The sequence below is a fragment of the Homo sapiens genome, chromosome 2 (genome assembly GCF_000001405.40).
Source record: "Homo sapiens chromosome 2, GRCh38.p14 Primary Assembly".
NCBI lineage: Eukaryota > Metazoa > Chordata > Mammalia > Primates > Hominidae > Homo > Homo sapiens.
The window spans coordinates 153,905,187-153,927,745 of NC_000002.12; the positions used below are offsets into that span (position 1 = coordinate 153,905,187).

A 22,559-nucleotide genomic window follows, 5' to 3' on the forward strand; every position below is an offset into this window, starting at 1 on the left:
GTTAGAATTGCATTCAATCTATTGTTAAGTAAATTTTTAAAGAGCTGGTGTAATTACAATATTAACTGATTTCATTTATGAACATAATATATACAGCATTTCCTCCTTATTAACTGGGGACACATTCCAAGATCCCCAGTGGATGCCTGAAACTGCAAATAGTACTAAACCTTATATATAGACTATGGTTTTTTCTATATATACATACCTCTGATAAAGTTTAATTTATAACTTAGGCACAGGAAGAAATTAACAACAACTAATAATAAAATAGAACAATTATAACAATATACTGTAATAAAAGTTATGTGAATATAGTCTCCTTGTCTCTCAAAGTATGTTATTGTACTGTACTTAACCTGCTTCTTGTGATGATGTGAGATAATACAATGCCTACATGATGAGATGAAGTCTTGTGAATGATTTTGGTCATAACTTTCATAGTTTGAGGTGCAACAGCAAAACTAACATAAATCTCTTGTTCTTTCTTCACAATTTCAAGGACAGAAGAAGCATTCTTACCATAGAGCTTAGCAACGTGAGCAAACAACTTTTTCCCTTTATTATTTTCTTAAAGGAAACACTTTATGGCTTCTCTTTGGCATATTCAAATTGCCAACATCACCAGTCTTGTAATTTGGGTCCATTATTAAGTAATATAACGGTGACTTGAATACAAACACTGTGATAACTTTAGCAATCAATCTGATAACCGATATGGCTACTAAGTGGCTATTGGGTGGGTTGTGAATGTAGCATGAGGATGCTGGACAAAGGAATGATTAAAGTCCTAGGAGGAATAGAGCAGAGCCATGGGAAATTTCATCAAGCTACACAGAACAGCACACCATTTAAAATTATAAATTGTTTATTTCTGGAATTTTCCATTTAATATTTTTGGACCACAGTTGACGATGAGTAACTGGAACCATGGAAGGCAAAACCATAAGTAAGGGGGGACTTATTTATTTTGATCTTTTAGTTTCTCTTAATCCCATGTCTGGTTGTTTTTTTTTAATGTTGAGTTCAAGCTAATTTTTCTTTTTTTCTTTTTTTTTAAATTTTATTATTATTATACTTTAAGTTTTAGGGTACATGTGCACAATGTGCAGGTTTGTTACATATGTATACATGTGCCATGTTGGTGTGCTGCACCTATTAACTCATCATTTAGCATTAGGTATATCTCCTAATGCTATCCCTCCCCCCTCCCCCCACTCCACAACAGTCCCCAGAGTGTGATGTTCCCCTTCCTGTGTCCATGTGTTCTCATTATTCAATTCCCACCTATGAGTGAGAACATGCAGTGTTTGGTTTTTTGTCCTTGTGATAGTTTGCTGAGAATTATGGTTTCCAGTTTCATCCATGTCCCTACAAAGGACACGAACTCATCATTTTTTATGGCTGCATAGTATTCCATGGTGTATATGTGCCACATTTTCTTAATCCAGTCTATCGTTGTTGGACATTTGGGTTGGTTCCAAGTCTTTGCTATTGTGAATAGTGCTGCAATAAACATACGTGTGCATGTGTCTTTATAGCAGCATGATTTATAATCCTTTGGGTATATACCCAGTAATGGGATGGCTGGGTCAAATGGTATTTCTAGTTCTAGATCCCTGAGGAATCGCCACACTGACTTCCACAATGGCTGAACTAGTTTACAGTCCCACCAACAGTGTAAAAGTGTTCCTATTTCTCCACATCCTCTCCAGCACCTGTTGTTTCCTGACTTTTTAATGATCGCCATTCTAACTGGTGTGAGATGGTATCTCATTGTGGTTTTGATTTGCATTTCTCTGATGGCCAGTGATGATGAGCGTTTTTTCATGTGTTTTTTGGCTGCATAAATGTCTTCTTTTGAGAAGTGTCTGTTCATATCCTTTGCCCAGTTTTTGATGGGGTTGTTTGTTTTTTTCTTGTAAATTTGTTTGAGTTCATTGTAGATTCTGGATATTAGCCCTTTGTCAGATGAGTAGGTTGCGAAAATTTTCTCCCATTTTGTAGGTTGCCTTTTCACTCTGATGGTAGTTTCTTTTGCTGTGCAGAAGGGTTTTTTGTTTAGAGGTCTTATGTATTTTGGTTAATTTGTGCCTAGAAGTTTAATGCAGTTTAATATTAAGATTATATATATACACACACACATATAATTATATACATATGTATCATATACATATAATTACATACATAATAATACATACATATTATATACACTTTTTTAACTTTTATTTTAGGTTTAGGGGTACATGAGCAGGTTTGTTATGTAGGTAAACTTGTGTCATGGGGGTTTGTTGTACAGATTATTTTGTCACTGGAATACTAAGCCTCGTACCTAATGGTTATTTTTTTCTGTTCCTCTACCTCCTGCCACCCTCTATCCTAAGGTAGAGTTCATTGTCTGTTTTTCCCTTCTTTGTGTCCATGTGTTCTGATCACTTAGCCTCCACTTACAAATGAGAACATGTGGTATTTGTTTTCTGTTCCTGCCTTGGTTTGCTAAGGATGATGGCCTCCAGCTCCATCCATGTTACTGCAAAGGATATGATCTAATTTTTTTGTGTGTGTGGCTGTATAGTTTTCCATAGTGTATATGTGCCACATTTTCTTTATCCATTCTACCATTGATGGGCATTTAGGTTGATTCCATATCTTTGTCATTGTGAATAGTGCTGCAATTAACATATGTGTGCATGTGTCTTTATGGTAGGATAATTTATATTCCTTTATGTATATACCCAGTAATGGGATTGCTGGGTTGAATGGTAATTTTGTTTTTAACTCTTTGAGGAATCATGACATTGCTTTCCACAATAGTTGAACTAATTTACACTCCCACCAGCAAGCAGTGTGTAAGTGTTCCCTTTCGCCACAACCTTGTCTGTTCTGTTATTTGACTTTTTCATAATAGCCATTCTGACTGGTGTAAGATGGTATCTCATGGTGGTTTTGGTTTCCATTTCTCTAATGATCAGTGATAGTGAGCTTTTTCATGTGATTGTTTGCCACATTTATGAAAAGTGTTGGTTCATGTCCTCCGCCCACTGTTTAATGGGGTTGTTTACTTTTTCATTGTAATTTAAGTTCCTTATAGATGCTGGATATTAGAGCTTTGTCAGATGCATAGTTTGCATATATATTTCCCATTCTATAGGTTGTCTGCTTACTCTGTTGATAGTTTCTTTTTCTGCACAGAAGCTCTTCAGTTGAGTTAGATCCCATTTGTCAATTTTTGCTTTTGTTGCAATTGCTTTTGGTGTTTTTGTCGTGAAACCTTTAACAGGTTCTTCATCCAGAATGGTATTTTCTAGGTTGTCTTCCAGAGTTTTTATAGTTTTGGGTTTTACATTTAAGTCTTTAATCCATCTTGAGTTGATTTTTCTATGTGGTATAAAGAAGGAGTCCAGTTTCAATCTTCTGCATATGGCTAGCCTGTTATCCAAGCACACTCCCATTGAATAGGGAGTCCATTCCTCATTGCTTTCTTTTGTTGACTTTGTGGAAGACCAGATGGTTGTAGGTGTGCAGCCTTAATTCTGGGCTCTCTATTCTATTCCATTGGCCTATATGTCTGCCTTTGTACCAGTACCATGCCATTTTTTTATTGTAGCTCTGTAGTATAGTTTGAAGTTGGTAACATAATGCGTCCAACTTTGTTCTTTTTGCTGAGATATCTTGCCTTGGATATTTGGGCTCTTTTTTGGTTCCATATGAATTTTAAAATATATTTTTCTAGTTCTGCCAATAATGTTATTTATAGTTTGATAGGGATAGCATTGAATCTATAAATTGCTTTGGGCAGTATGGCCATTTTAATGATATTGATTCCTCCTATCCATGAGATCCATGAACATGGAGTGTTTTTCTATTTGTTTGTGTCATCTCTGATTGCTTTGAGCAGTGTTTTGTGATTCTCATTGTAGAGATCTTTCACCTCCCTGGTTAACTATATTCCTAGGTATTTTGTCACAGTTGTGAATGGGATTGCTTTCCTGACTTGGTTCTCAGCTTGGCTGTCATTGCCATATAGGATTTTTAATGTGATTTTTGTACATTTTTTGCTAGTTTGTACAGATTTTGCTAGTAATTTTTGTACATTGACTTTTTATCCTGAAACTTTGCTGAGGTTTATCAGTTTAAGGAGCTTTCAAGCTGAGATTGTGGGGTTTTCTAGATACAGAAACACATCATCTGCAAACAGGAATAGTTTGACTCCCTTTCTTTCTGTATGTATATGCTTTATTTCTTTCTCTTGATGGATCTCTGTGGCCAGGACTTTCAATACTATGTTTAATAGGAGTGGTGAGAGGGGGCATCCTTGTCTTGTGTGGCTTTTCAAGGGTAATGCTTTTGCCCATTTATGTGATGTTTGCTGTGGTTTTGTCATAGATGGCTCTTACTATTTTGAGGTATGTTCCTTCAATATGTAGCTTGTTGAGAGTTTTTAACATGAAGGGATGTTGAATTTTGTCAAACATCTTTTCAGCTTCTATTGCAATAAACATGTGGTTTTGACTTTTACCTCTGTTTTTGTAATGAATTACATTTATTGATTTGCATATGTTGAATCAACCTTGCATTCCAGGGATAAAGCCTACTTGATCATGGTGGATTAGCTTTTTGATGGCACTGCTGGATTTGGTTTGCTGGTATTTTGTTGAGGATTTTTTAATCTATCCTCATCAAGAATTTTGGCCTGAAGTTTTCTCTTTTGGTTGTGTCACTGCAAGGTTTTGGTATCAGGATGATGCTGGCCTCATAGAATGAGTTGGGGAGGAGTCCCTCTTCCTCATTTTTTTGGAATAATTGCACTAGGAATGGTACCAGCCCTTCTTTGTATGTCTGGTAGACTTTGTCGGTGAATCCTTCTGGCCCTGGCTAGGCTTTTTTTTTTTTGGTTGGTAGACTATTTATTACTGATTCAATTTCAGAATTCATTATTGGTCTGTTCATGGATTCAGTTTCTTCCTGGTTTAGTCATGGGAGGGTATATGTGCTCAGGTATCTATCCATTTCATGTTGATTTTTGAGTTTGTGTGAATAGAGGTATTCGTAGTAGTCTCTGATGGTTATATATGTGTGTTTCTGTAGGGATAGTGGTTATTGCCTTTGTCATTTCTGATTGTGTTTATCTTCTATCTTTTTCTCTTTATTAGCCTAGCTAGTTTCTATCCATCTTTTTAATTTTCTCAAAATGCCAACTCCTGGATTCATTGATCTTTTGAATGGTTTTTTTATGTGTCAATCTCTTTCAGTTCAGCATTGATTATGTTTGTTTCTGGTCTTCTGCTAGCTTTGGAGTTGATTTCTTCTTGCTTCTCTACTTCTTTTATTTGTGATGGTGGGTTGTTAATTTGAGATCTTTCTAAGTTTTTGATGTGGGCATTTTGTGCTTCAAATTTTCATCTTAACACCGCCTTATCTGTGTCCCAGAGATCCTAGTACGTTGTAGCTTTGTTCTTATTAGTTTCAAAGACCTTCTTGATTTCTGTCTTAATTTCATTATTTACCCCAAATCATTCTGAAGCAGGTTAATTTCCATGTAATTGTATGGTTTTGAGTGATTTTCTTGAATTCTCTTTTTTTGTGTGCTGTTGTCTGAGAGAGTAGTTGCTATGATTTCAGTTCTTTTGCATTTGCTGATTGTTTTATGTCCTATTGTGTGGTTGATTTTAGTGTATGTGCCATGTGGCAATGAGAATAATGTATATTCTGTTGTTTTTGGATGGAGAGTCCTATAGGTATCTATCAGGTCCATTTGGTCCTTTTGAGTTCAAGTCCTAAATGTCTTTGCTAACTTTCCGCCTTGATGATCTGTCCAGTACTGTCAGTGGAGTGTTGAAATCTCCCACTATTATTGCATGGAAGTCGAAATTTCCTTGAAGGTCACTAAGAACTTCCTTTGTGAATCTGGATGCTTCTCAGTTGGGTGTATATACGTTTAGAATAGTCAGGTCTTGTCAACCTGAATCCTTTACCATTATGTAATGCCCTCTTTTGATCTTTGTTGATTTAAAGTCTGCTTTGCCTAAAATTAGGATTGTAACCCTAGTGTTTTTATGTTTTCCATTTGCTTGGTAGACATTTCCCCATCCCTTAATTTTGAGCCTGTGAGTGTCATTGTATGTGTGATAGGTCTCTTGAAGACAGCATACCACTGAGTCTTGCTTCTTTATTCACCTTGCCACTCTGTGTCTTTTACTTGGAGCATTTAGCTTCTTATATTCAATGTTAGCATTGATATGTGTGGATTTGACCCTGTCGCAGTGTTTTTAGCTAGTTTTTATGCAGATTTGTTTTTATAGTTACTTTATAGTGCCACTTGTCTGTGTACTTAAATGTGTTTCTGTAGCGGCTGGTAACAGTCTTTCCTTTCCATATTTAGTGCTTTTTTCAGGAGCTCTTATAAGCGAGTTTGGTGGTAATGATTTCCCTTAGCATTTGCCTGTCTGAAAAGCATCTTATTTCTCCTTCGCTTATGAAGCTTAGTTTGTTTGTATATGAAATTCTTGGTCAGAATTTATCTTTTTGTAAGAATGTTGAATATAGACCCCCAATCTCTTCTTGCTTGTAGTGCTGTTTCTGAGAAGTTGGCTGTTAGTCTGATGGGCTTCCTTTTGTGGGTGACCTGTCCTTTGTCTCTTGGTGCCTTTATCATTTTTTATTTCAGCCTTGGAGAATATGATGATTATGTGTCTTGGGGATGGTCTTCCTGTGAAGTATTTTGTGGGGGTTCTCTGCATTTCCTGAATTTGAATGTTGGCCTCCTTGGCTAGATAGGGGAAATTCTTATGGATGATAACCTGAATCATGCTTCCCAAGTTGCTTCCATTCTGCTTATCTCTTTCAGGGATGTCAATGTCATAGATTTGGTCTCTTTATATAATCCCATATTTCTCTGAGGTTTGGTTTGTTCCTTTTTATTCTTTTTTCTTTATTCTTGTCTGACTGTATTATTTCAGAAAGTCAGTATTCAGGCTCTGAAATTCTTTACTCAGCTTGGTCTAATCTGTTGCTTTTACTTGCTATTGCGTTATGAAATTCTTGTAGTGTTTTTTTCAGCTCTATAAGGTCAGCTTCATGCTTTTCTATACTGGCTATTTTGTCTATCAGATTCTGTGTCATTTTATTATGATTCTTAGTTTCCTTAGATTGGGTTTCAGTGTTTTCATGAATCTTGAAAATCTTCATTCTTATCCTTATTCTGAATTCTATTTCTGTCATTTCAGCCATCTGACCTCAGTTAACAACTCTTCTTGGAGAACTAGGGTGGTCATTTGGAGAAAAGAAGACACTCTTGCTTTTTTTGAGCTGTCAGAGTTCTTGTGCTGGTTCTTTCTCATCTTTGTGGGTCTGCTGTTCCTTCAGTATTTGAAGTTCCTATCATTTAGATGTTTTTTTTTCTTTTATCCTATTTAATGACCTTGGGGGTTTAATTGTGGTATAAGGTGTATTCAGTCAATTGGATTCATTTCTGCAAGATTTTAGGGAGTCAAGGCTTAGCTCAGGACTCCCGGACTGTGTTTTCTAATTCTGGGTGACTCTTATTGGGCACTGGCTTTGTTTTCTGGCCCCTCATGGTTAGGAACCTGTTGCACAGGATAGGCTGAAATGTTCCTGAACTGCTGGTCACAATACTTGTATGCATGGTGCCAGCCAAAGCTCTTTGTAGGGCAGTGGCAGTGGAATCTATCCTCATTTGCATGTGCTAGCAACAGTGGCAGCAGCAGCATGGCCAAGTGCACACTTGTCAGCTGTGGCAGGGTGGTAGTGGGTGCTGGGTAGCCAGCAGGTGTTTGCAGCAGTGGTGATGGCAGTATTACTCAGGGAGACAGGGGTCCTCCACTGGCAACTGTGCATGTGTTTATGCCAGTGTTGGTGTTAGCATGGTGGTGGGGGTGCTGGTGGGCGCAGGACTGTGCATGCCCTCTATGCATGTTCACACTGGTGGTGGTGGCTGCCTAGGTTGTGGGCAAGCTGTCTGTTTTCCCTGCCTAGTTTCACTTTGGCAGCAGTGTCAGTGCAAGTGGTGGGTGCTGCTGGCAGCAGGGCAGGCGGCTTTCATGCCTGCCAATGCTCTGAGGACAATGGCAATGTGACAGGTGGGGTGGGGGGCAGCATGCATCCATGTCAACAGCAGTGGTATAGCAGGGTGCGTGCACACACATATGGTGGCAGGGAAAGGAAGGGAAGGTTTGTCTGTGCACACATGTCCTGTCTCATGGGCAAAACAGCCCTTCAGAGTTCAGGTTGGACAGTTCCCCTAAGGCTAAAGTCTCCTATGGAAGCAAGTTGAGCCCAGGGGAATGGGCAGCCCTGACCATGCTCCGCTACAGACACTCCAACACCAAATCCTCTGGGCTCTGCATTGGCTGGAGTTCTGGCTCTAACACTTTTCTAAGTTACTCTTTCTGCCAACTGAAGGGTCCATGGTGGTAGAGGGGTTTCCTACTGCTGGGATTCCAGAGGGCTGTGATGAGAGCAGCTTGCTCCTTGTGTGTTCAACTCCTACTTTCTGCAGGAGTTCTTCGGGGCCAGGAATAAGTCCTGGTGAACGGCAGTCCCATGCAGGGTGCCCAGTCCCCTCTCCCTTCAGTCCAGCATCTGTGTCTTCCCTCCATCTGTTCTCAATGCCTTGCCTCTGAAGATATGCTCAGAGGACTCCAGTCTTTCTGATGTTCTGGTCCCTTGGAGGGAGATGTTCCTCCTAGCTGTGTCTAGTTGGCCATCTTGGGGTAGGCAAGATATATCTTAAAAAATTATTTTCTCTTTGTTCCTTGTATAAAAATACATGTTTAAATATCGCCCTTGCATATAGTAGATTGTAAACTCATTAATTCTAGTGTGTTTTTCAGTGCATTATTTTGAATTTTCTATGTAAACATCCATGTTGTCTGTGAAGAAAGATAGTATTACTTAACACTTTCAAAATCTTATAGCTTTATTGTATTTTCTGTGTCTTATTGACTTGGCTAGAATGTCCAGAACAATGCTGAATGAACACAGGAAGAATGAACATTCTGCTCTTGTTCACAAATCAAAGAGAACACTGTCCATCATTTTACTGTTAAGAATGATGTCCTTGAGGTCAGGAGTTCGAGACCAGTCTGGCCAACACAGTGAAACCCCGTCTCTACTAAAAATACAAAAAACTAGTCGAGTGTGGTGGTGTGTGCCTGTAGTCCCAGCTACCTGGGAGGCTGAAGCAGGAGAATCATATGAGCCCAGGAGGCAAAGTTACAGTGAGCTGAGATCACGCCATTGCACTCCAGCCTGGGCAAAAGTGCGAGTCTCCGTCTCAAAAAAAAAAAAAAAAAAGATGTTTGCTGTATTATTTTGAGAAAATAGCATATATTTGATTGAGAGAATCTAGTTTTATTCTGATTTTGTTAGGATTCTTAATTATAGTTAGGTTTTTAATTTTTATCAAATGCTTCTGCCTGTATTGAGATTTTCAAATTATCTCAAACCTATTGAGATTATCAAATTATCTCTTTTACTTTCTTATCCGATGATTTATATTGATATTATTCCACCCCCCAACCCCCGACAGGCTTCTTTGCTTAGTATGGTACCTGGGGCACATGATAGTTTTTTCAGTGTTTTTTTTCCAACCCTTTCCGTCTTCCTTGCATGTTTGCATAGGGGAGGAAACCTCTTATTACATTCTGGACAATCCTCCAGTGGTAAATTGCTGTTGCATACTAATATACTACTCCTGGTGGGGGACAGGAGGGTGCCTGGATCCTGTTCTCCAGTCTTTATCTTAGACATGGCCTGTGCACCTGTGCCTTAGATGTATGGCTCTTACACAATACCTACCCATTCCTCCCATGGGGCCCAAGCTCCTCCTGGAGTCTGTGGGATTCATGAGTGGGAGAGGTGTCCTGCTCTTCCCCCAGTGTTAGCAGACCTCTGTTTTATGTTAGCTTAAGATTCTGGGCACAAGAAAGTTACCTGCCCATTCAGCAAGGTTTGATGGATCATTCTACCCCTTCCTGAGAAACTATAGCTCTTTTCCAGGGTGTTGGGAATATGAGGATTTTTTTCACCCTAAAAGGCTAAATTTTGCTTTGTATTAGAGAAAATTTTGGGGAATTGGTAAGGATTTTGTGACTTTATACCTCCAAAGAGTTCTCACTGGTCTCTACTCTGGACTGAATCTTTCCTCATAAAGAAGTTTATGAATGAACACATGTTTATTTGTATATAGGGGATTCCTGGGTGTCTACACTGTTCTGTTGGCCAATTCTGATCCTTAAGTATTTGTTACACTTTTAGCTGTTTTCTTCTTACCTACTTTCATGGTGACTACCTCATTCTCTCTTATTCTGTTAAAAGTGAAATAGTTCATATGTCCTGTCACTCCTCAGAGTGGCTGTTACCCTCTGAAATTTTGTTCATCTCTTTGCCTGGTGACCCCTGCCCTCTGCATAGAGGAAGCCTGATCATTATCATCATGGGCTGAAATTATAGCTCCTAGATCATTAGGAATCTAGTCTCCTTTTGTAGTTCTTTTCCACAGTCTTAGCTACATAACTTCATCCACAAGAGTTTTCCAGTAGTTTGAGATGACTTCTGCAGCCTAGCCATCACATTTGTGTTCTATGCAGCAAGAATGAAAAAAAAATGCAATGACAAATGAGGCATGCAGCCAGGTGATTTACCCCTCATCAAAGAGATTACCTGGAAACTCTTTCTTATATTTTCTACCTACCCATCATTACTCTTAGTTGTAAAGGAGACTGTTGCACGTAGTGTTGTAGCTGCACACACAACTGTTTTGTTGGTTACCTAGTAAGGATGAAGGGAAAGATAGATATTTAGTAAGCTCTTAGTGGTCATAGTCACAAGGAGAGGATAGGAATTACATTGAGGTGATCTGATCTTTTCTTTTCTTTTTCCTTCCTTCCTTCTGTCCTTCCTTCCTCCCTTCCTTCCTTCGTTCCTTCCTTCCTTCCTTCCTTCCTTTTTTCTTTTTCTTTTTTTTTTTTTATAAGGTCTTGCTCTGTCACCCAAGCTGGAGTGCAGTGGCACAATCATAGCTCACTGCAGCCTTGACCTCTTGTACTCAAGCAATTCCCTTCCTCGGCCTCCTGAGTATCCGGGATGATTGGTGTGTGGCGTTGTGCCTGGCTAATTTTTAAATTTTTAGTAGCAATGAGGTCTCACTATGTTGCCCAGGCTGGTCTCGAACTCCTGGCTTCAAACGATCCTCCTGCCTCAGCCTCCCAAACTGCTGGGATTACAGGTACAAGTCACTGTGCCCAGCCTAGGTAATCCGATTTTTGAGGCAGGATGGAGTGAGTTAAAATGCACAGGTTCTAACATCATACAGAACTATTCTGATCTCAGTTCAGCAAATACTAGCTGTGATACCTTGAGCAAGGTTTTTATTTGGTTATACCTCCTCAGCTGTAAAAGGGCATGATATAACTGTGTTTAAATGTTTCGGTGTGGATAGAATATGATAATATATTCAAAGGGTTCATTGCATAGGAAATAGTCAAGAAATGGTATATTTAGTTTACCTATCTTATATTAGCATAAATTCAGTTTAAGAGAGGACGGTGTCTATAAATGACTAATACAGATTGATAGAGTACAAAGGCAACTAACCTTGTTTCTCTTGAGTAGAGCTTTACCTTTTAGATGGGATTGAGTCTCAATTTCTGTTCTTTGATGTATAATTTCTATACTTTGAATTAAACTGAAAGATTGCTCAAAGTTAAGGTCTATGATAGCAGCACTTTATGTAATGTCAAACCAAGAAATAGATAAGAATTTAAAGGTTTCTCTTTAACCTTTGCCATTGGTAAGTTATGAAACTGACGAAAGAAATTATACACCTCTGGGCCTCAGTTTATTCAGCTGACAAGTCACTTAGTTGATGAGATGACCTCTACCACCTATTTAACAGCTTTAAAACACCGTAATTCTGTGCATTTTTTTTTTGCCTAACACAGATTCTTTTGCCAAAAGAAATATCCTTGTCTCTGTTTGTGTCTGTGTGTATGTATTTATTCATATTGCCATCATCTTTAAAATATCTTGAATATACCATATGTGTATTAAGATGTGTAAAGTACACTAATATTAAATATATGGATTGATGGGTTTTTACGTAGTTATATGCCTGCATTACTGCTACCTATAGCGGTAATATAGAATCAGGAACACACAGAATATTTCTAACCCCCAATAACTTCCCTTTACATCTCTTCCCCATCAATAACCTTCTGGTTTTTATTATTTTTTATTTTGACTTTATGATAATATAATTTGAAAAAGGTATGCATTATTTTGAGGGGTAATTCAAACTTAAAAATTTTTCTAGAAGTATTAACAATTATGATAAAACCAAAAACGTCTAAATAATGCTGAAAAGTGCAATAAACTATAACAATGATGTTATAAGTAATAAACTTAATTGCACATCCACTGAAATGAAACAGAATTGCAGTGTGAAAAATCTCTTAAAATTCTATCCAAATCTCCCACCTGTAAGCCAAAAAATAGAGCTACCACACAGGCTGGTGAGTATTCTATCAGTCATGTTGCCAGGCAACCTTAGTCAGTATGAGAGACACCCAATTGAGCAGCCTTGGAGTCAAACTAAAAGGTATCTTGGAAACAAGGGTTCAACTGATAGAGAGGGAGGATAGAAGCAGAGAGAGAGAGAAAAAAGAGGCAGAATGTCAATTAGGCAGTTATCTGTTAATCATGACCACAGTTTTTTTTTTTTTCTAGTAAAATGCAGCTAGCTTACAGCAAAATTACTTGGATTTCTACTTCCTTCTCTCTGTTTTCTCCTGCATGTACACATGTGTGAGTGCAGAGGTTTGGCAAGATGTATCATCATTACTTTTTTGGAGAGAAGGATGTTCAAAAGCATTTTTAGCATACTCAAAACATGTTAACTAGGAGTTCATTGAGATTTTATTAATTCAGGATTATGTTTGATTCAGCCAAGTTTAAAATAATTAATCTGATTTTTAAATTGAAATACTGTGTTTGAAAAATTGGGAATACAAAGTAAAAATATCTTTCTACCACTTGAACTGAAATCCTTGGAAGGTAAAAGAAATGGAAAGGGAGATGCTCCTAATTCTCTCTGGGTGAACTTCGGTAGAGATAACATACACCAATCAAACAGGGTGAGAATTTGGGATGACAAAGTCAAGTAAGCCCTTGACTCTGCAAAGCAACTCTTAATGTGGTTTTCTAGAGCGGTATCTTCCATTTCCCACAGTTTCATTTTCATAGCCAACCTTTGCTACTCCCCTATGCTCTAACCCACCACCACTCTTCTCCCTTCCTTCTTAACAGATCATGTGCAGAGAAAATAGCATCTGTGAGACAGGAAATTTTGAGATTCCTACTAACTTACCAGTGTCCCTAAATCCTTTTATTCTCCCCTTCTATTGATGCCTCTTCCTCTATAAACCAATTCTTTCATCAGTGCTCTGGATCCTACAGCTATCTGTGCATGTTCTAAGGGTGATAGTTCAAATGAATATTTTCATTTTGCATGTTCAACCTTGTCCCTTTCTCCTGATTCCTTCCTCTTGGCATTAAACATGTAAAAATATCTTTCCCCTTAAAACCAAAAATGCATTTGTGCATAAATCTTCACCTTATTTCAAGTCCATTATTAGCTACACTGTAACTATTACCTCTACTCATAGCTAAATGTCTCCAAGATTTTTCAATATTTTGTGTCACATTCATTCACACCTCAACACACTGAGGCTTTCCTTGTCTGGTTGTCTGAAGCTGCTTCAAGCTCACCAAAGTTAGTTGTGTGACTTATATTGCATATAGAATATACTTCTTTGCTCCCTTAGCACAATTTTGTACTATTGATCATTCATTCTATTTCAGAATATTATTTTTTGATGAAATCTATATTATTGTACTTCTGTCTTTCTCCTCCCTTGATAGCATTGCCCAATCTCATTTGTGTGCTTATCTTTCTTAAAATACATATTCTACAAGATTCTTTATGGCACCCTCATTTTCTATCATACTTAGATTCTCACTGAACAAATTTTATCAACTTCCATGTCTTCAATTTCCATTGACTTGCTGACTCCCTCATCTTTACCTCTTCTGATATTCAGTCCCTATACTCACCTGTCTTCTAGGCAGCTCTGCTTGTATATCCCATATGAAATTCAAAAATTATTAAAATATACCAGCAGATTTGTGAATACCACTATTTTTTCTGTTATAAATAATTAAAATATATGTGATATTGATATATATAAACAACAAAATGAAAATAATAAAATTAATGTTCTTAACAATGATGCAGACCCCAGAAACTTTAATCTTGAGCAGGCCTTTGATTTTATTTAGAACTTCTAGATTATAAACCGTGAGGCAAGGTGTCTCAAGCACCTAATGTGGGCTAGGGTTGGGAGCATATTATGTACTCAAAAATTATTTGGGAAATAAATAAAATAAATAGCTTAATATTTGAATGAATCTTAAAGGATTTTCTTTTTCCAAGTTGTGTTAACAAATTATTTTGCTCATCCTAATATTGATTACAATAATAGCAATGGCTAACATGTACTGATTAATTACATTGTGCCAGTTCCTCTGATTGTCATTTCATATATAATCTTTACCAGAATTCTATAAGTAGATATAATTCTTATTGCTATGTTATAAACACGGGAACAACTGGAGTTAACTGGGCAAATTAACCTCTTCAGTATCTTCAAACTGAATGTGTATAGGGGTTGGACTTGAATCAACATTGTCTAATACCCCATTATATATAATACAGTTATATTATATATATTATAATATATAACAGTTATATATATTATATATAGCTAAATATAATTATATATATTTATATATGAATTTTTAGAAAAAATAATACCTTCTATATTCCTGGTTCTTTGATACAGACATTCATATTCTGATGTTTTTGCTATTAGTAGGCCTCTTCGGATTCTCAGTAGGTGCACATGACTTAGGTGTCATCAATTACGATTATAGTTTGGATTGTCTTGAAAAAATAACTTAGAATATGCATTCAGAGGCTACAGTAATCAAAACAGGATGGTACTGGTACAAAGACCAACACATAGACCAATGGAACAGAATAGACAACCCAGAAATAAGGCACCTCACCTACAACCATCTGATCTTCCACAAAGCTAACAAAAACAAGCAATGGGGAAAGGACTCTGTATTCAATAAATGGTGCTGGGATAACTGGCTAGCTATATTCAGAAGATTAAAACTGGGCCCTTTCTTTATACTACATAAAAATATCAACTCAAGATGGATGAAAGACTTTAATATAAGACCCAAAACTGTAAAAACCCTGGAAGACAACCTAGGAAATACCGTGCTGGACCTAGAAACTGGCAAAGATTTTATAACAAAGATCCCAAAACCACTGCAACAAAAATAAAAATTGACAAATGGGACCTAATTAAACTAAAGAACTTCTGCAAACCAAAGGAAACTATCAACAGAACAAACAGACAATCTACAGAATATGAGAAAATATTTGCAAGCTATGCATCGAACAAAGGTCAAATATCCAGAATCTTTGAGGAACTTAAGTGTATGAACAAAAAAACAACCCATTAAAAAGTGGGCAAACGACATGAACTGACAGTTTTCAAAAGAAGACATGTATGTGACCAACAAGCATGTGAAAACATGCTCAACATCACTGATCATTTGAGAAATGCAGATCAAAACCACCATGAGATACCATCTTACAGCAGTCAGAATGGCTATTATTAAAAAGTCAAAAAATAGCAGATGCTGGAAGGTTGTGGAGAAAAGGGAACGCTTATACATTGCTGATGAGCATGTAAATTAGTTCAGCCATTGTGGAAAACAGTGTAATGATTTCTTAAAGAACTTGAAACAGAATTAGCATTCAACCCAGCAATCCCATGTTTGAGTATATATCCAAAAGAATATAAATCACTCTACCATAAAGACACATGGACGTGTATATTCATTGCAGCACCATTCACAATAGCAGACATGAAATCAACCTAAATTCCCATCAATGGTAGACTGAATAAATAAAATATGGAACATATACACCATGAAATACTATACGGACACAAAAAAGATCATATCCTTAGCAATAACATGGATGGAGCTGGATACTACTATAGTAAGTAAAATAACACAGGAACAGGAAACCAAATACTGCATTCTCTCATTTGTAAGTGGGAGCTAAACAAGAACACATGGACACAAAGAGGGGAACAACAGGCACCAAGGCCTGCTTGAGGGTGGAGTCTTGGAGGAGGGAGAGGATCAGAAAAATACCCATTGGGTACTATGTTTATTCTTGGGTGATGAAATAATCTGTACACCAGTCCCCTGTGACAAGCAATTTACCTGTATAACAAAACTGCACATGCACCCCTGAACCTAACACAGAAGTTATAATAATAATAAAAAAGAATGCTTAAGAGTTTATGTAAGAGTAAGGGAGATAGAATGCAAGTAGAAATTATGAGGAAATATTGGAATGGCCGAGAGATACAGTGTTTTCTCCATAGTAGAGGAAGAAAATACAGTAAATTTGGAAAAGATGGCAGAAACAATTGACACATGGACAAACAACTAACAAATATATCCTGCAGAGCCAATTAAAAACTGAAATATAAAATCCAGGTCAGATGGTTTTTATAATTGAAAAAAGACTATGGATGGCAAATAAGATGAATAAAAAAAGGATATTAGAAATATAATAAGGATAAACATAATTTAAATACGTTAAAATACATCTATAATTTTAAAAATATGAGGAGTGGAATAACCAGGAATTAAAATGACATATAGAAAAAAATCCATGTATCGGTTAGTGGGTTTTATTAATTTAGATTGCTGTCTTTGTACATATCTTTCCCAGAAATGTGAAGCAAAAAGGAAAATAAAATGTTGATTGCTATTCTGCTGGAGTAGAGCTGAATGGATGTGGGAAATCAGAGAATTTTTGTACTGATTATGGTTTTTTGCAGGAAGGGGAGTCATACCAATATTTTCTTCTCAGTTTGAACACAGTTTCATTTCACAGAAATTAATAGATAAGATACTTTGAACTGGAGTACACCTACTGATTTCTTCTGATGTCAGTCAGTTGTTAGAATGTATTTACTATGCTTTTCAAAATCAAAAGAAAATATTATAATCATTCAGCCACATAAACAGTGGAAGATTTTCCTTGGACTAAACAGATCTTTTGATCTTGAAGCTTTATACCTTTCCCATTTAAGCTATGAAAATATATAATCTTTACAGAAAATGTATGGACTGTTTCCTTTTAGAATTTTATCCTTGTCTCAAAAATAAACTATAATTAGAAAAGCTGTCTGTTAGTAACTAATTGCTTCTCCCTGCTATCAAACCAATTATAGAGACTAATTTTAAGAAAGGAAACTTTATAGTTGAGGCAAACTTAGGTAGGTGATAATCCTTCCCCCAACCCTTACTCTCCACCTTCCCCCAGTCCACTATCATGTTTCGCACAGCTAACTTCTGGTGGATAATATGGAAAGAAAAATTGTTTTCAGAAATTGCTTTAATTAGCAATGACTGGCATGAAGTGATAAATGGAAATGAATATTTTAGAAACTCAGAGATATATTATTTAATAATTATATTAAAGTAATAAGGTCATTTGAAGTAGCATTTTTATTTTTATTTTTTATTTTAATTTTTAAATTTTTTATTTTTTGAAACAGAGTCTCCCTCTGTCACCCAGGCTGGAGTGCAGCGGTGTGATCTGGGCTCACTGCAACCTCCGCCTCCCGGGTTCAAGCAATTCTCCTGCCTCAGCCTCCTGAGTAGCTGGGATTACAGGCGCCTGCCACAGTGCTTGGCTAATTTTTGTATTTTTGATAGAGACTGGGTTTCACTATGTTCACCAGGCTGGTCTCAAACTCCTGACCTCAGGTGATCCTCCCACGTCGGCCTCCCAAAGTGCTGGAATTACAGGCATGAGCCACTGTGCCTGGCCTGAAATAGCATTTTTAGATTAGACATTTAAAAACAGAATAAAATGTATGTATTAGTTAATAGCTTTATTAATTCAGGTTGCTGCTTTTGTACATATCTTTGCCAGAAATGTGAAGTGAAAAGGAAAATAAAATGTTGATTGCTGTTCTGCTGGATTAATAGCAAATTATAATAGAACCAATTACATTCGTTATATACTACTACTTTATTAGTTATGTACTTTTTTGGCTTTTGAATAAAATCATACTCTACCTTGCTTACTTTTAACAGGGAGAGTATTTTCTTCATGTTGATTTGATTTTGGAATCTGATTTTTTTTGTTAAATCTCAATCATGGTTGTTTTTATTTTTTTTTATTATACTTTAAGTTCTAGGGTACATGTGCACAACATGCAGGTTTGTTACATATGTATACATGTGCCATGTTGGTGTGCTGCACCCATTAACTTGTCATTTACATTAGGTATATCTCCTAATGCTATCCCTTCCCCCTCCCCCGACCCCACAACAGGCCCCCATGTGTGATATTCCCCTTCCTGTGTCCAAGTGTTCTCATTGTTCAATTCCTACCTATGAGTGAGAACATGCGGTGTTTGTTTTTTTGTCCTTGTGATAGTTTGCTGAGAATGATGGTTTCCAGCTTCATCCATGTCCCTACGAAGGACATGAACTCATCATTTTTTATGGCTGCATAGTATTCCATGGTGTATATGTGCCACATTTTCTTAATCCAGCCTATCATTGATGGACATTTGGGTTGGTTCCAAGTCTTTGCTATTGTGAATAGTGCCACAATAAACATACATGTGCATGTGTCTTTATAGCAGCATGTCAATCATGATTTTTTAAAATTTCCAACTTTTATTTTTAAATTCAGGGGTACATGTGCAGGATGTACAGGATTGTTACATAGGTAAATGTGTTCCATTGTGGTTTGCTGCACAGATCATCCCATCACCTTTGTATTAAGCCGAGCATCCATTAGCTATTCTTCCTGATGCACTCCCTCTTCCCACCCCCACCCTCAGATAGTCCCTGGTGTATCTTGTTTGCCCCCATGTGTCTATGTGTTCTCATCCTTCAGCTTCCACTTATAAATGAGAACATGTGATATTTGGTTTTCTGTTCTGCATTAGTTTGCTGAGGATAGTGGCTTCCAGCTCCATCCATGTTCCTGCACAGGACATGATCTCATTCCTTTTTATGGCTGCATAATATTCCATGGTGTATATATACCACATTTTCTTTATCCAGTCTATTGTTGATAGACATTTAGATTGATTCCATGTCGTTGCTATTGTGAATAGTTCTGCAATGAACATGTGCCTTTATGTATCTTTATAAAAGAACAGTTTATATTCCTTTGGGTATATACCCAGTAATGAGATTGCTGGATCAAATGGCATTTCTGCCTCTAGGTCTTTGAGGAATTGCCATACTGCCTTCCACAATGGTTGAACTAATTTATACTCTCACCAACAGTATATAAGCGTCCCTTTTTCTCCACGACCTCGTCAGCATCTGTTGTTTTTTTACTTTTTAATAATAGCCATTCTTATTGGTGTGAGATGATATCTCACTGTGTTTTTGATTTGCATTTCTCTAATGATCCGTGACGTTGAGCTTTTTTTCATGTTTGTTGGCCACATGTATGTTTTCTTTTGAAAAGTGTCTGCTCATGTCCTTTGTGCACTTTTTGATGCCATTGTTTTTGGCTTGTAAATTTGCTTAAGTTCCTTATAGATGTTAGGTATTAGGCCTTTGTCAGATGGATAGATTACAAAAATTTTGTCCCATTCTGTAGGTTATCTGTTTATTTTGTTGATAATTTCTTTGCTGTGCAGAAGCTCTTTAATTTAATTAGATTCCATTTGTCAATTTTTGCTTTCGTTGCAATTGCTTTGGCATCTTTGTCATGACATCTTGGCCTGTGCCTATGTCCTGAATGGTATTGCCTATGTTTTCTCCTAGGGGTTTTATAGTTTTGGGTATGTATTCACATATTTAATCCATCTTGAGTTGATTTTTGTATATGGTATAAGGAAGGGGTCCAGTTTCAATTTTCTGCATATGGCTAGCCAGTTGTCCCAGCACTATTTATTAAATAGGGAATGCTTTCCCCATTGCTTGTTTTTTTCAGGTTTGTCAAAGATCAGATAGTTGTAGGTGCGCAGTCTTATTTCTGGGTTCTGCATTCTGTTCCATTGGTCTATGTGTCTGTTCTTGTACCTGTACCATGCTGTTTTGGTTACTTTAGCTGTATAGTATAGTTTGGCATCAGGTAGCATGAAGCCTCGAGCTTTTTTTTTTTTTTTTGCTTAGGATTGTCTTGGCTATTTGAGCTCTTTTTTGGTTCCATATGAATTTTAAAATTCTTTTTTCTGATTCTGTGAGGAATGTCAATGGTAGTTTAATGAAAATAGCATTGAATCTGTAAATTGCTTTAGGCAGGATGACCATTTTCACGATATTGATTCTTCCTATCCGTGAGCATGGAATGTTTTTCCATTTGTTTTGTGTCATCTCTGATTTCTTTTAGCAGTGCTTTGTAGTTCCCCTTGAAGAGGTCCTTTATTTCCCTTGTCAGTTGTATTTCTAAGTATTTTATTCTTTTTGTGGCAGTTGTGAATGGAAGTTCATTTGTGATTTGGTTGTATGCCTGTTGTTGGTGTATAGGAATGCTAGCGATTTTTGCACATTGATTTTGTATCCTGAAACTTTGCTGAAGTTGCTTATCAGATTAAGAAGCTTTTGGGCTGAGATGATGGAGTTTTCTAGATTTAGGATCATGTTACCTGCAAACAAAGATAGTTTGACTTCCCCTCTTCCCATTCTAATACCCTTTATTTCTTTCTCTTGCCTGTCAATCATGATTTTTTTCAAATTGTGGTACACTATTAATAGGAGACAACGCTTTTCTAAAGCAGAAATCACTACGCATCTCAGATACCTCAAGTTGCATGTGATTTTAATTTAAATAATATAAAAAAGAATAATGTTCTAGGGTCCAAGTATATGTTTTCAATATATTAAAATTTATTTACATGAGATGAATATACAATTTATTGGTGTTTTTTTCTTTTCTGAAGATTTAATTGGATTTGAGGGAAATACAGGCTGCAATGGTGGGAATAGTTAAAAGTGAGTAGTCTTTTCCACTTTAAATAATCACTTTTAAATATGGTCCTGATGGATTTAAGGTTGTATTTGTTTAAACAAAAGCCACATATACAACTAGAAAGAGATAGTTCCTGAATTTTGGTTAAGAGTCCAGGTTTGAAAAGTTAGCCATTTTCTTCAAAAGAATGTGGAGTTTTAAAATAATTTCACATTTGAGGCAAATTCTTATCTTTCCAGAGACTGTAATACTAGAGACTAGTAAAAGTTAGAATTTTGGAAACAGATTACTTAAATCAGGCTTCGTTTTAATGGGGAATTCTGTCTTCCTTTTCTTTCTCATTTATTCTGTTTTGTGAATAACCCTTGACAGTCCTTTGGGTCTGTTGGTCTATATTTGCACGGTTTTCATGACTGTATGCGTGCCATGTACTCACGTACACATCGGCACAAATATCAGATGAGTCAGAAATTTAGTCCGTATCACTATTATTGGTGATTTTCTTATTACTTTAAAATAAAACATATATCTTCCTCATTATTCAGATAATAAATACTATTTCTAGTTACTATATAAAATCACAAAACGCATTAGAGAAGCACAATGAAAATTCCCACATTTACACGTTTTTCCAATGCTTGTATATGAATAAGTTAAAAAACAGTTGCAATCATAGTGCATTCATAAGTAGACATTGCAATTTTTAAAAATAGTGTCATAATATCTCTTAACTTAAAGTCTTTTCTCAATATGGGGTATTTAAAACAGTGTTCAGTGGAGAAATTACTAGTTCAAAGTATATGATAATTTTTAAGAAAATGGGTCAAAAATCTTATTTTTAATAAACGCTATTTCTTTCCAAAAATGTTTTTACCAATTTATGTTTCTATCTGCAAAGAAAGAAAGGACCCGTTTATCCCATCTTTGCTAAAATATAATTTTGTTACAAATAGTATTTAATTTTGATTTATAGTCCTTTAATATGCACAATTATTAATTAAATTAATTAGAAGTTTTGCAGAATGATAGGGGAAATGTCGCTTTGTTTACAGGTTGGCTTTTCATGTGCTTGTACACATAATGGTAATCTCTGCTTACCTGTTATATCTCGCATTATATTTTTCCTTTTCTCCTATATTTATGGCAGATTTTCTTGTTTTTTAACATCTGTGTTTTCTATTAATGGATTATACACTCCATTATATTAGTTGCTTTATATTGATTGACAAATTATCATCTTTAGCAATATTATATGACAAGTTTTCTTTGCTAATAAGAATATGAATTTTAAGTCCATGAGGACTTGAAACTTTTACTTTACTGTTAATTAATTGGAGAGTATTCAATATTTGGAATATTTAGTTCTTTATGTAATTATTTACTTCTTTCCTCTAATTGCCTGTCTTTTAAGGCACTTAACTTATGATTA

At 36.4% G+C, this 22,559-nt stretch overlaps 1 protein-coding gene across 18 annotated transcripts in view, besides 1 other annotated feature; it reads left to right on the forward strand.

Moving 5' to 3' along the window:
* The window catches only part of GALNT13 (polypeptide N-acetylgalactosaminyltransferase 13), a 1,388,282-nt gene that overhangs the window by 836,894 nt on the left and 528,829 nt on the right, over nucleotides 1-22,559 (forward strand). Inside the window, exons 3-4 of one of the 18 annotated variants that reach the window (XM_047443116.1) lie at nucleotides 503-538; nucleotides 21,102-21,153. The exons of 16 other annotated variants lie outside the window; for them this stretch is intronic. The gene's annotated coding sequence lies outside the window, so the exon portion shown is untranslated. The remainder of the gene's footprint in view (nucleotides 1-502; nucleotides 539-21,101; nucleotides 21,154-22,559) is intronic. One more of the 18 variants, NM_001376402.1, reaches the window with a different exon arrangement.
* Nucleotides 8,002-8,502: an enhancer, noted in NCBI's record as "H3K4me1 hESC enhancer chr2:154769701-154770201 (GRCh37/hg19 assembly coordinates)". NCBI's record gives its function as "activates a minimal SCP1, AML or CMV promoter by ChIP-STARR-seq in naive H9 embryonic stem cells {active_cell/tissue: H9 hESC(naive)}" and the evidence as "EXISTENCE:reporter gene assay evidence [ECO:0000049][PMID:30033119]".